Here is a 15,414-nt window from a genome sequence, read left to right as displayed (position 1 = left end):
GACCAGCCTGGGCAACACAGTGAGACCCCATCTCCACAAAAAATTTTTAACAATTAGTGAGGCATGGTAGTATGTAACTGTAGTCCCAGCTACTTGGGAGATTGAGGTGGGAGGACTGCTTGAGCATGGGAGGTCGAGGCTCCAGTGAGCTGTCGTCACATCCCTGCACTCCAGCCGTGGTGACAGAGCTAGATCCTGTCTTAGAAAAATAAAAATACAGAACCCCTTTCACTCAGTTATGCCTTTTCTGATTGCCTCCTTCACTGGTTTGTCTGGAAACCAATCTCTCTTTAAATCAGATGATAGTGATGCTGCTCTTAAACTTACTTGTGACACGGTAGAGCAAGAAGAGAAGCAAGTAAGAAAGAAGAAGCCACAGGTAAAGCAATAAAACAGAGCCAGGAATGAGACAAGACACAAACTATGTCTACTGACATCTTTCACTCTTTCTAAGGCTGACTCACAAGTTAGGGTTTCAGCAGCAAATGGTAAAAGGAAAACATCCAGCTCAGATTGGTAGAACCCAGAAAGTAGAAGCAAACCATTGCACAGGAAAAGCAAAAGTACTCCAGTTAGTAAGATCACAGAGCAATTCTTATGTGGGTTTTATGACCTCAATATCATTATTTTATAGTGATACTGTACTATATTGCATTTATATTATATTATAGTATATTAAAAATATGACCTTGTGTATACTTCACTATTTCTGTCCCCTGAATGTAAATCAGTTTAATTTGAGTATTATTCCTAGACAAAATCAGCAGATGACACTTTCGAATCATATAATTTTAAGATGTTTTATATTTGTTCTTTTGTTTGTTTGTTTTTTGAGACAGAGTTTTGCTCTGTTGCCCAGGCTGGAGTGGAGTGGCACAAACTCAGCTCACTGCAACCTCTGCCTCCCGGGTTCAAGCAATTCTCCTGCCTCAGCCGCCCGAGTAGCTGGGACTACAGGCGAGCGCCACTATACCCAGCTAATTTTTTTATTTTTAGTAGAGACAGGGTTTCACCATATTGGCCAGGCTGGTCTTGAACTCCTGACATCATGATCCGCCTGCCTCAGCCTTCCAAAGTGCTGGGATACAGGTGTTACAGGTGTGAGCCACCACGCCCAGCCTATATTTGTATTTTTTAAAAAAATCCATACAAAGTTGACATGAAAGTTTTTTTAAATGGGTAAGTCTAGCTAGGTTTATAATGGGAAAGCCCTTCTTGGGTCTTAAAGTAATTATTTTGCAAAGATAAAAAGTGGTGCAAAGTTGTATTCATATGCCTTGATTGCATATGAATATGAATGAAGTTTCTTAAAAACTTTATTTTTTAAGAAAACAAAATGTAAAATCAATGAAAGGAATCAACTTGCTCATTGGATTGTTCTTACCCTTGAGGAAGAAAATTACTCCAGAGACAAGTTCTTTTCCATCTTGGGATGAATGCTGAATTAATCAGCAGGGATTCTGCCAGGTCCTTATATGTGTTGACGGAGGTTCTCTGAGTTATATCACAGGAATGTTGGTGGCTTCAACACCAGTTCTTTTGATAGTTGAGGAAACTATCTCAAAGCCAATTCTGGATGATTTCCTTTTTGGGTAAATTTGTCTAACAAATTGCTCATTTGATTTAATTGTCATGACGGAAATTAGGAAGAAAATACTCCTTGTTGAATTAGTACATGTTCAAAATAAATTACTGCAAATGGAACTGTTACTCTTTACCTAATTGGGTATCCAATAGTCTGTCTACATTAAACCTCCAGCTGAAGACCCCAACAAGATATATCTCAAGTATTTTTAGCGTATTTTATAATGTTTGCATTGATGAGTACTTTCGTTTTTTAATACTTTGTAACAAATTCTCACAAACTTTGCAGCTTAAAACAATACCCATTTATTAGCTTAAAGTTCTGTGGGGTCAGAAGTCTGGGCCTGGTATGACTGGCTTCTGTGTTTGGGTCTTAAAAGTGTCACCGGACTGTGTTCCCTTCTGAAGCTTGGGGTTCTCTTTCAAGCTCATATGGTGGTTGCAGAATTCATGCCTTGTGTTTTAGGGCTAAGGCCCCTGTTCTCTTCTTGGCTATGGGATGGTGGCTGTCTTAGCTCCTGGAAGCTGCCTGTAGTTCCTTGTCTCGTGGCTCCTCCGTGTGCCCCTTTATGCTTCTGTCAGGAAGATCCCAGCTCCACTAAGGGGTCCTATTAGGTCAGGCCCACTACAATAATCTCTCTCGATTGACTCAAAATCAGTTGATTGGTAACCTAATCATGGAGAGATATCCCATCATATTCACAAGTTCTGCTCACCCTTAAGAGGAGAGAATTATATAAAGAGTGCACGTAAGGGTGGTTTTGGGGAAGAGGGACTGTTGGGGACCATCTTACAATTCTGCCTACAGCAATGGGCAAATGATTAAATTTCAGCTCTCACAAATGTGGAAAGTAATGCTCAAGAGAGAAGAAAATCAATGGCAAATGTTAGAGTTTAAGATAAAATTCTCCATCCAAATTACTGCATATGGTGCCATTTGCTCCATTTTCTCCTTCTTCCTAATGAGGTTACTCTAGGACAGCTGTGAAGATTCTTGTACTCTTATTAGTGAGAGACTGCCAGTGAAACCAATATGTCATTTGTCATAAACTTTGAGTCACTGACCCAGAGGTGAGACTAACTGTATAAGAAATAAACAAATGTGTTCTGCTTGACCCTGCCCCATGACATGAAAATCTGTCAAATTCCAGTTTCTTTTAATATGACAGAGGCTATAGAGCTAAGACTGACCCAGTGACAGCTTCCCTCTTTTTGAAAATTCATTTAATAAGTGGAAGTCTATACCTTTTAACTCTTTGTGGTGTTTTGGAGTTTAATAAAGATATCCAAAGTTTTTGTGGGAAGCAGTACATATATGTTACCTTGACTACCTTGGACATAGTCTTATTTGGTCAAAGGGGTGTGATCTTGAGTAGACTGAATATAACTTGGCAGCTGGTTGAGCCCCTATGGAGTGAATACTCAGGGACCCTTAGGGCAATCTTCTATAGCATTGCTCCTCTACCTCTCTGCTGTCCCAGTTTTGGGAATTGCTGCAATCTGTCTTCCTCGGTTATTGGTAGAGAAAATTACTTTTTTTTTTTCAGTAGAACCCTTTGTATATTCCTTGTTGCATCTTCATCTCCCTGTCTGCATCTTTCCTTATCTCCTTTCTTCTGGTCTCAAGAGCTTTGCCCCCTTTTCTGTTCTGCTGACCCTCCCTCCTCTGCCATTGCCTTCTGTTCTTGTTCCCACTGGAATCTTTTCCTACCAGTCTTCTCTCTTCTCTTGTCTTTCTTCAACCTTTGCTTCTCTACTTGGTTCTGGATGTCAATTTCTATTTACCGAGCTTTGTTTGCTAGACACGTATTAGGAATTTATCTCTTACCATCTGGGGGATCTACTTTCTTTTCTTTTTTTTTTTTTTTTACTTTTTAAAGGTAAGTGTATACTGATAGCCTTTCTTCCTGTGCTCTAATGGTTCAGAGCCTTTTTAATGACTTGGAGTTATTAACCCTCACTTTTGAGGTTCCTTTGTAATCACCGAGACACAGAGAAACTCATGGCATGTTCTTAAGTAACTCACTTTCTTATTTGAAGAGAGGCTTTTCAGTGTCTGTCCTCGGTGTGCAGGATCATGTAGTCTTGGCTCCTTCATGCTGACCTGTTGCCTGCAGACCTCAGAATCCAGGAGAGAGCTCTCTCCTAACTAACCTAGCCGCAGAATGTCAATCAAACCCCAGCTTATCACGCCTCTGCTTCCTCCATCTTTCTCAGTGCTTCTATGAACAAGTCACTTTTCCTTTGTTATTTATGTTCCCTCCATCTTTTATTCCTGCTTCTAAGTTATTTCTAATTGTCCTTATAGGAATAAACCCAAATCTTGACACAGTTGACATTTTCAAAGTTGAAGAAAAGGTCACTGACGTCAATCTGCTCTTTCTAGAATTTCATGTGTGATGAGGGATAACTGCCTCTGTGAACATTCCTCTTTTTGGCAAGGCTCATTGGTGAGGTTTGATTTGTGTGTAGAAGCAACCTCTGCAAAAATCTGAAAAGGAAGTCTATTCTTCTTAGGAATTTAATTATTTTGAAGTAAGGATGAACTTCTGTAGCAGATTCATATTGTCATTACTTGCCAAATTCTCAGTGCCTTTTTATTCTGTTTTTAAAAAGGAAACAGGAAGAGCGAGTACAGCAAGTACGCAAGAAATTGGAAGAAGCACTGATGGCAGACATCTTGTCGCGAGCTGCTGATACAGAAGAGATGGATATTGAAATGGACAGTGGAGATGAAGCCTAAGAATATGATCAGGTAAACTGACACCAGAGAGAGTGACTTGGAACTTAAGGTGTGTTTTCTTGGCCGGACATAGTGCTTCTGCCTGTAATCCCAGCACTTGGGTGGCTGAGGCGGGCGATCAGTTGAGCTCAGTAGTTCGAGACCAGCTTGAGCAACATGGCAAAACCCCATCTCTACCCAAAATACAAAAAATTAACTGGGTGTGGTGTTGTGTGTGTGTGGTTCCAGCTACTCAGGAGGCTGAGGTGGGAGGATCACTCGAGCCTGGGAGGCAGAAATTTCAGTGAGCCAAAATTGTGCTACTGTTCTCCAACCTGGGTGACAGAGTGAAACCCCATCTCAGAAAAAAAAAAAAAGGTGTCGCTGTATTTTCTTGTTATTTTCCCTGTAGCTTCCTCAGCAGTGAATGAAAAAGCTACTCCTCTGCTCGGGTTCTGCATGTGCTGTTGTTTGTTTCTTCTCTCTGGATTGAAGGACCATATAAGTTATTGCATTCTTTTGTTCTCATACTGGGAGGACATTCACACCCCTGCAGTCACTTGCAAGGGATCTAGTCTCCTTCATTAAGACCAGGTGGAAAGCCTCTAAGGTGTCACTAGAGAAGAGCAGCAGCAGAAGAAAAGGACTTTGTCATGTAGGGAGGAACGGCCCCAGAAGAAGAAGGTGACTGTCATCTCCATCACAGTAGCATCCAGGGCATATTGCTTCCTCTTTAAAATTATGGTGGCAAAGCAGGCAAAATCTCTTTCTTTTTCTTAGATTCTCCCTAGCACAGATTTGATGCAGGGAGAACAAGAAGGACACTAAAAAGTATAATAAATACTTTACCTTAAAAAATACACATTTTTAGGCTGGGTTTGGTGGCTCATGCCTGTAATCTCAGCGCTTTGGCATGCCAAGGCAGGCGGATCACTTGAGGTCAGGAGTTTGAGACTAGCTTGGCCAACATGGTGAAACCTTGTCTCTACTAAAAATATAAAAATTAGCTGGGCGTGGTAGAATAGCTGGAATTTTGTAATTCTAGCTACTCGGGAGGCTGAGACATGAGAATTGCTTGAACCCGGGAGGCAGAGGTTGCAGTGAGCCGAGATTGTGCCACTACACTCCAGCCTGGGATGGAGTAAGACTCTGACTCAAAAAACAGCAACAAAAATGCACATTTTGATCTTATCTCAAACTCACATTCCAGGCTCATGGCTCTGTGCCATGGGCATACCTTGTCTTCAGAGGAGCACGTGCAGATCTTAAGGCTTTCTGTGACGTCTTGCTTCCCGGCTTCCATCCTGCTTTGTTTCAGCAGGCCATGTCTTCCTTTTTGGCACCCCAAAACCAATTATTTACTAGTTTCCTTTGAAGCCAAAACAGAGGGAGGGATGGGGTGCTAATATGATGTCAAGGGTCAACAGAGCCTCTCTGAGAAAGTGACATTTATGTTGAGCCTGAAAGATATATAGGAGTGAGCCAGGAGAGGTTTGGGTAAAAGTGTTCCCATTAGAAGGAACAGCAAGGAGAAACTTGGTTTCTTTAAGGAATGAAGAAATTATCCACGTGGTTGGAATGCAGTATGTCTGGGGAGGGGTGGGGGGAATGTGTGGGTGGTGAACCTAGTCACGTAGGACCTGTGGGTTGTTAGGGAGATTGATGACCACTTGAGATTGATCATGAAAATTAGCAGGAATCACTGAAGAGTCAGTAGCATGATCAGATTTGCTTCTTTACAAGAGCCCTATGGCTGCTGCATGAATACAAGGATTGGAGTAGGGAAAGCTTGGAAGCAAGGAGACCAGTTGGGATGTTGCTGCGGTAGTCTCGCAAGAGATGATGGTGGCTTTAGGAGGATGTTGACATGCCAATAGGTTGGGAGAAGAAGAGATGGGTAGATCTGAGATATAGCTGGAGAAAGAATCACGTGACCAGGTGACTGCCTGGAAGTGCGGGTGAGAGAGTGGCGAGGATGCCTCAGGGTTTTCACTTGAGCCATCACTTGAGCTGGGTGGGAGGGAACTCTGTTTGGTAGGGGAACAGGCTAAGGGTAGGGATTGCAGGGAGGGTGAGTTGAATTGTTAACACAATTATCCCCTTCCATAGTGCCTTTATCTTTCATGCCACAGCAAGACCAAAATCCAATAATACATATAATGTCTTACATTTACATGTCCATCCATGGCAGCACTCACTTCTGGGTCACAGTTTCCTGACCATACAGAATCATTTCAGGCTGGGTGTGGTGGCTCACGCCTATAATCCCAGCACTTTGGGAGGCTGAGGTGGATGGATGTCCTGAGGTCAGGAGTTTGAGACCAGCCTGGCCAACATGACGAAACCCTGTCTCTACTAAAAATACAAAAATTAGCTGGGCATGGTGGCGGGCACCTGTAATCCCAACTACTTGAGAGGCTGAGGCAGGAGAATCGCTTGAACCTGGGAGGCGGAGGTTGCAGTGAGCCGAGATCGCGCCACTGCACTACAGCCTGGGTGATAGAGTGAGACTCTGTCTCAAAAAAAAAAAAAAATCATTTCAATCCAGTTCAGTGCTGTTTTAGCTCTTTTCTCTTCCCTTATTGAAGACATGAAGATGCTGTGTTGATACTTGGATTTTGTTTTCCAAGCTGGCAAGGATGTATTTATGGGCTTTGATGAGTATACTTAATATGCTGGAAGTCTTTCAGAGGGAAGTCTGAAGTGTGTTTCTACTGTCCACGGCTGCAGCCACACCGTCTCTGGAGCACAGAGGGATCTGGATCTCACCTGATCCAGATTCTGCACTGTTGCTTCGGAATGGACTCTCAGAAAGCCCTTCTCTTCTGTCAGGGCTTTTTGGTTTTTTTCTAGACTTTTCTCATGAAATCATTTCAGATAATCAAGGGTCACCTAATTGAGGTTTTACTAGACTTCTGTTTCCTTTTTTTTTATTATTATTTTTGAGATGGAGTTTCGCTCTTGTCATCCAGGCTGGAGTACAGGGGTGCAATCTCAGCTCACTGCAACCTCTGCCTCCCGGGTTCAAGCGATTCTCCTGCCTCAGTCTCCCAAGTAGCTGGAATTACAGGTGCCTGACACCATGCCCAGTTAATTTTTTGTATTTTTTCTAGAGACGGTTTTCGCCATGTTGGGCAGGTTGGTCTTGAACTCTTGAACTCCTGACCTCAGGTGATCCACCCGTCTCAGCCTCCCAAAGTGCTGGGATTACAGCATGAGCCACTGGCCGACTTTTGCTTCCTTTACAGATTACTTTGCAGATTGACATCCAGGCTATACCCTTGTTTATGTGAGCGAGGCTGTGTTGTAGGCACTGGCACTATACTTACACAGAAGTTGGCAACTTCTCATTGCCTTGCACAAATGTGGATAATAGTAATAACAAACTAATGTTGAATGATTAGAATTTTAATCAGTTCTTTAAAAGTAGCCATTATTTTGGCATGTTAGGTAGGGAGAGATTCAAATTATTTATGTTATCTTCCCAACTTGAGAATGGCATTATTAGATCAAGCCATTAGACTTATAGATTGCGGAAGATTTAGATGTACTTCTTAATTATGAAAATTACATTTACCTTACTCAAATAACCCCATATATACCTAAAAGTTTTAATAAACTAAAGCATGACCACATGACTCAATCAGCTGTCCGTAATAACCTGTGGTATAGGTAGGACTTAGTTGGGCAAAGGGTGAGATGTGGCCATCTTCACGGGCTCATAAGAGATAACCAAGGTCCCTTCAGGTCGGCCAGCCTCATCATGCCTCAGCTCTTTCTAATCCTGCTTATTAGTAAGGTGGATGTTTATTCATTTATTTATTTGGTTAGTTAAATAACAGGCCGCAATTTACTGTGTTACTTAAATTTTACTTAAGTAAAATTTAAGAAGAAGAAGAAGATGATGACTGTAAAAACAAAGGTGTGAATATATTTAGCTATACATGAGATAGGATATCAAATACATAAATAGTTCAATTTGCAGTTGCACAGTGCCATTTCACCCAGGTTAAACAATAGGAAGACTCGATGCATACGTGTCATCTGTAAATGCTCTCATGTGAAAGAAATTGTGAAGTAAAATAAAGTATCTTGAGTAGAAATTTTTCTACATTTTCTCAAAATATATTTGGATTGGTCTGTATCTGTTCTGCTTTTTCATTTGTATGCCCTTTGAATTCTCTTTTTATGCTGATGTAGTTAATTGTAGTTAGAAAATATTTGCATAAACATAGAAGAATACATATGATTTCTTTGGAAAATTAACAGGATAGTAAAGGTTATCATCAAAATAAAACGAAACAATGAGGGGATATGTTGAGCACTTTTTATTTATGAAGTGCTGTAACTACATGTTCATCAAGGCTGTAAAAGCATGGTTCTTAAGTGGAATTCAATCTCTAATTCTTTTTTGAGTATTGCTGACCTCTCACCTGATAAATCACTGGATTACTTAAGTTTGTTCTTTTTTTTTTTTTTTTAACAGGTAACTTTCGACCGACTTTCCCCAAGAGAAAATTCCTAGAAATTGAACAAAAATGTTTCCACTGGCTTTTGCCTGTAAGAAAAAAAATGTACCCGAGCACATAGAGCTTTTTAATAGCACTAACCAATGCCTTTTTAGATGTATTTTTGATGTATATATCTATTATTCAAAAAATCATGTTTATTTTGAGTCCTAGGACTTAAAATTAGTCTTTTGTAATATCAAGCAGGACCCTAAGATGAAGCTGAGCTTTTGATGCCAGGTGCAATCTACTGGAAATGTAGCACTTACGTAAAACATTTGTTTCCCCCACAGTTTTAATAAGAACAGATCAGGAATTCTAAATAAATTTCCCAGTTAAAGATTATTGTGACTTCACTGTATATAAACATATTTTTATACTTTATTGAAAGGGGACACCTGTACATTCTTCCATCATCACTGTAAAGACAAATAAATGATTATATTCACAGACTGATTGGAATTCTTTCTGTTGAAAAGCACACACAATAAAGAACCCCTCGTTAGCCTTCCTCTGATTTACATTCAACTCTGATCCCTGGGCCTTAGGTTTGACATGGAGGTGGAGGAAGATAGCGCATATATTTGCAGTATGAACTATTGCCTCTGGACGTTGTGAGAATTGTGCTTTCACCAGAATTTCTAAGAATTTCTGCTAAATATCACCTAGCATGTGTAATTTTTTTTCCTTGCCTGTGACTTGGACTTTTGATAGTTCTATAAGAATAAGGCTTTTTCTTCCCTTGGGCATGAGTCAGATACACAAGGACCCTTCAGGTGTTACTAGAAGGCGTCCATGTTTATTGTTTTTTAAAGAATGTTTGGCACTCTCTAACGTCCACTAGCTTACTGAGTTATCAGGTGCAGGTCAGACTCTTGGCTACAGTGAGAGGCAGCTTCTAGACAGAGTTGCTTAATGAAAGGGTTTGTAATACTTTACAAACCATTACCTGTACCTGGCCTGGCCTCCAAAATATTAACATTCTTTTTCTGTTGAAACTCGCGAGTGTAACTTTCATACCACTTGAATTTATTGATATTTAATTATGAAAACTAGCATTACATTATTAAACGATTTCTAAAATCAAAACATACTTAATCTGATACCAAGGAAGGGAGGGAGTGGTTATAAGCAAATGAAAACAAATTTTGAGAGACAGAGCAAAAGTAAAATCATTCTATAGAAAAGGTGTGTTTATTTCTTAACTCTTGAGTTCTTTTAAAATTAGAACCTAAATGATGCAGTCAGGGGTATGACCAATTCCACATGAGTGTCACCTGTACATTTTATTACCACTACCTCCAGTTTCCAAGGCAGGGAAGAAGAGGGGAATAGTCAAAGCAATATGACTAGCTAGGTTTGGGCTGCTGTTTGGGCTGCTGTTTTTCCTGGACTTTTATGCCAAACTACATAAATACTTCTTGGAATTCCTGATTTACGCTCAACTTTGATCCCTGGACCCTAGGGCCATTAGTTTCCTTGAAGCAGTCCTGCTGGTGGATGAGCAGGGAAACTTGTAGACCCTGGGAAGCCAATTGGTAGAGGGTGCCTGCCCGCCCCATCAGACTGTCCCAACTGGGGTGGGGGTGAGGATCATAGTGATTTCTTTTTAAAAGCTAGTATGACTAGTGAGAATGGATGTCCAAGGGCTTTTCTCTTCCTCCCCCGAGTCCACGATTCTTCATTTGTGATCAGGGTTGGGGTAACTTCACCTTGGTGATCATATATTCTTTTTACAAACCAATCCAGCCAAGATATATGTGCTTTTCTAAACAGCTTGTAAAAGCAAAAACACAATGTATACACATATAAAACTGATTTTTTTTTTTTTGCTTATATACTTTGCTCAGGTGGAGAACAAGGTATGAAAGCCATTATATGGTGTCCCTTGGGGACCATCCCATAAGTCCAGGGTGTTCCCAATATACCCACAAGACAACATGTTCAAAACTTCATCACCTGGTCCCCACAAACCTACCACCCTCTTCCATTCCCTCACTCTGGTAAAAGCAAGCCATCTTCTCCAGTTACGCAAGGCAGAAGCCCAGGAGTGAGCACAATGCTGCCCTTTCCCTTGCTTCTGACTTCTCATCAATCCTATTAGAACTACTGACTGCACCCCACCTCTCCTCCATCCCCACGATCACTGCCTTCATATGAACTGCCTTTCCTGTCCTCTGGACTTTCAGTGGCTTCCTTTTTTGCTCACCTGTCCACTTTCTTCCCCTTCCCTCTCTCCATCCCTCCACATAGTCATCAGAAAGATCATCAAAACAGGCAAATGTGACTGTATTATTTCCCTCACTTATCTTTGTATGCAGTTTAGAGTGATTTTTAAGAGCACACACTTTGAAATTAGGAGAACCTGTGTCTGAATCCTGATTTTTGCCATTTGTGTGACTTGTCAGGTTATTTAATCTCTTTGAGCCTGTCCCTCCTCAGTGAAATAGGAATAATAATACCTACCTCATAGAGTTGTTGTGAGGATTCAGTGAGATAGACTGTTTCTAAAGTGTGTAGCACAGTGCCTGGCACATAGTGGGTGCTCACATTGGAGCACACTATTGTCGCTATCCCTGCAGGTGTGAGTTTTACATCCTTTCCAAGAGGCATTTGCTAATAACCCTAACTACCGCCTATCCCTGTGACACTATTTTCTGCCTCAGCACCCTATTTCTTTTGTAGACATTTTCTAAGTCTGTATTTTATTTATTTGTTGGCTTTTTGTCTATTTCTCTACTAGAATGTAAGCTCCATGAGAGCAAGGATGTGTTTGTCTGATTTCCCGTTACAGCCCCAGCACTTAGCTGAGTGACTGGCACCTAGTAAGCACTCAGTAACTGTTTGCTGAATAAATGGAAGAATGGTCAAAAGGCTCTTCTTGATCTGATCCCTGCTTGTCTGTCTGGCCTCATGCTGCCACTATTCCTCACTGCACCTTCAGCTCAAGAAAAACCTCTTTACTTGCTTCTTTGAAGTGCCCCTTGGGCCTCTGTGTCTTTGTACCTGTTGTTCCCTTTGCCTGAAACACCCTTTGCCTGCCCGTCTACATGGTGAATTCCTAATCATTGATGAAGTCTCAGCTCAATGGCTACCTCCTCTGTGAAGCTGTCCCTGATTTCTTCAGGCAGATGTTCTTTCCCGCCTTCCCTGTTCCCACCGCACTTTGTAAATACCTCCATGGAAGCACTTTATTGTATTGTATTGTAATTTTTTTTTGCATGTCTGTTTCTACTATTAGACTGTAAGCACCGTAAAAGCAGAGATTGTGCTTTTTCATCCTCATGTTCCCCGAGCCTAGCCCAGTGCCTGGCACGTAATAGCTTGTCATTAAATATTTGTTGAATGAATCTGTGAATGAACAAGAGTCATGCAGTTGGAAAAGTGTTAGAAGCTGTATGTATTATAAAGGAAAGAAATGCCCTTGGTGGCTTCCAGGGTGTTTTTTTTTTTTTTTTTGGTCTAAAGAGGAGATCTAGAGAGTGTTATACAATCTCTTTGAATATAAGATTACTCGTTTGGATTTTTAAAATAATATAGATCTTCATAAATAATTGCAAAGATATAAACAAGCTTTGTGATTTCTCAAATGCTATGAAGTCCAAAATAAATATTTGCACTATTAGTATTTCCATAGTAAATGCTATGAGAAAATGTACAGCAATAAATTTTGAAGCTTTAAAACTGTTTGTGTAAGTCATCTTCAATGACTTAATCCATGAAGGACATCTCTGGATCATGTTTCTCGGGCACAGGGGACATCAGACTGGGGGGTGGGGTCCCAAAGTTCACAGGTAGGGCAGGGAACACCAGTCAGTTACAACCCAATTAGCTAGCAGTAGCTGTGGGATTTGGACTTGGAGCAGCAGGCTGTCAAAATGCATGACTCGAAGGATCTGGAGTAGGCTTTAAAATTTTAATTTGCATGCTGGTTTTCTCTATAAGGGCACATGCAAATTTTATGTGAAAATAGTTACTTTTATCAATTATTTGACTTTTAATGATGGGAAAACAAAAAGTGTTTTATTTCCTCACATTTATATAGCATTTAATAATTTATGGAACACTTTCACCTCCATTAATGTTATCTTTGAATTTTAATCTACATGTAAGCCATGTAATATGTACATATTCTTCTTCTCCTCATTTATGAGTTAAGGAATCTAAGACCCAGATAAGTTAAATGACTTATCCTAGCCAATAAGATTCAGAGAGGGAAATTTGAATGTAAAGGTTTTCTGTCTCGAGAACGCCACACAACCTTCCAATGCTATTCTCCACTCGGGTCTTAAGCTGACAAAAAGCAACACAGTTTGGTTTAACAAGTACAGTATGACTGTGGCCTGAAAGCAGAGCGATTCTTCCTAGGAGATCTGGTCCTTTTGTGGGTGACTAGTCAAAGCTTTTCCAGTAAACCTCCCTGCTGAGAAATCTTTACTAGGATTATTTATCTTATAAAAGAGGTGAGAATAGGTAAAGCTTCTTAATCACAGAATGTTAGGAATTATTTTTATCCGACGGTTAGCGTTTTCTTTGTAGTACTTTCAGCTTTTTGCCTCATGAACTTGATCCTCTGAGAAGTCTGGCAGCAAGATGCAACTGGACCATAGGCCCTGGGGCAAGAGTCCCCAACCTTTTTGGCACCAGGGACTGGTTTCATGGAAGACAATTTTTCCAAAGAGCAGGGTGGGGTGGGGTGATGGTTCTGAGATGAAACTATTCCACCTCAGATCATCAGGCATTAGATTCCCATAAGGAGTGTGCAATCTAGATCCCTCGCATGTGCGAGTCACAGTAAAGTTTGTGCGCCAATGAGAATCTAATGACACAGCTGATCTGAGAGGAGGCGGAGCTCAGGCGGGAATGCCTGCTCACCTGCTCACCTCCTGCTGTGTGGCCCTGTTCCTAACAGGCTGAAGATCAGTACGAGCCTGCTGCCGCCCAGGGCTTGGGGCCCCTGATGTAGGGCATGTGTAAAACCATTCACTGGGAGTGGGACCTTTTAATATTTGTTTTTATCTAATGTTATTGTGATTCTAATTTTTGAGTGTTTTTTAATATACATATTAGTAGAACAGTACATGTATATTATTTGTAAGTAAATATCCATAAATTTGGGAATACGTTTTTGTCTCAGAAAGGATTTATTAGCAAAGGAGTTTTGAGACCACTGCTCCAGTGCAGGACTCCTCATCGGGGGTCCATATTCCCCTGGAGTCAAGGAGCCTGCCAGACTCTTGCCATTACATACACAATTTTATGACGATGTGCCTTTCTCCTGGGGTAGTATCAGTAGCTTCTGTAGAATTCTCAGTGGGGAATGTATATCCAAGAATGAACCACTGAGGGCTGGTCTAGTGATTTCACTCCACTCTTGAGGCAGAATGGCTGTCACATACAAATTCAGATCATCTACAGCTTGATTTGTTATTGTTGTTGTTGTTGCATTTGTTGGTAGCCTCCAAATGACTTTCCATTTTGATTTAATGAATTAATGCTAACAAAATACCTAATAGAGTGGCCTCCGTATGGTAATGTATTTCATAAATGGGAGCAACCGCTTCCCCCAAAAACAAACAAACAAAAAACGCTGGTAAATTGTTAGGTATTGGAATATGCTTCTTGGGGAGTTACCTTGATTTTCGCTGACTGGATAAATATTCCCTGGACTGAGAGAGAACCAAAGCAGGGAGTTAATTGTGTGTGTGTTGGGAGAGGTTGATAGCAAGCAAGAATATGCTTGTTGAACACAGCATGATTCATACGAAGGCCTTACACCCAACAGTAGCTAGTTGTGAGAAAACAGAAACATTTGGAAACTTGAGGGGACTGATACAAATAGCAACATGGTAGAATGTGCTACTGGGAATGAATGCCTTCTTTTAAACCTTTCTCTTCCTCTCTTCTGTCTCCTACAAGAGCCGAGTCACTTAGTATAATTTTACAAATGAGAAAACTATAACCTTCCAACTATGACTTTCATTTTAAGAAACTCATGTGGCTTTTTGGAACAAACAAGATTTTGGTTTTACAGAAGCTGCTGTGAGAAGAGGATGAATTAGTCACCTAACTCTGAAAACATTTAACACTGGGGGTGGAGGGCTGGGGGAAGGGTGAATGCATTATTACTCAGTGAGTCAGAAACACACTCAACTTTACTGGAACTTTGTATTCATTCAAGGAATGGTCACAATCTTTGTTGTTGTTGTTCTTCCTCTTCTTTTTTTAAAATGACATTCCATAGGCTCTATTGCCATTTTATTAAAGATCAGTAGAAAGGCAAGAGGAAATATGGGTGTGAATTAAAGAATGGAGATAATTCAAATTACTCAGGGAAATTTCTTTGTGATAGGGTGGGACTGAGGTCCCTGATTTTTTGCTGACTGTTAGTCGGGGTTTGTCCTCAATGTCTAGAGGCTGCCCACATTCCTTGGCTAATGGCTCCTTTCATCGTTTTTGTTTGTTTGTTTTTGTTTTTGTTTTTGTTTTTTTTTGAAAGCCTCGCTCTGTCATCCAGGTTGGAGGCTGGAGTGCAGTGGCTTGATCTTGGCTCACTGCAGCCTCTGCCTCCCGGGTTCCAGTGATTCTCCTGCCTCAGCC

General features: G+C 40.8%; 1 protein-coding gene across 1 annotated transcript in view; it reads left to right on the top strand.

Moving 5' to 3' along the window:
- MBD2 (methyl-CpG binding domain protein 2) overlaps positions 1-12,498 on the top strand; it is a 73,064-nt gene extending 60,566 nt beyond the window's left edge. Inside the window, exons 6-7 of the mRNA NM_003927.5 lie at positions 4,201-4,339; positions 8,793-12,498. Of these exons, the coding sequence (NP_003918.1) occupies positions 4,201-4,327 (127 nt within the window). The 3' untranslated portion in view covers positions 4,328-4,339; positions 8,793-12,498. The remainder of the gene's footprint in view (positions 1-4,200; positions 4,340-8,792) is intronic.

This window comes from Homo sapiens, chromosome 18 (assembly GCF_000001405.40).
Source record: "Homo sapiens chromosome 18, GRCh38.p14 Primary Assembly".
Taxonomy (NCBI): Eukaryota; Metazoa; Chordata; class Mammalia; order Primates; family Hominidae; genus Homo; species Homo sapiens.
This window is presented reverse-complemented; position numbering and strand designations above follow the sequence as displayed.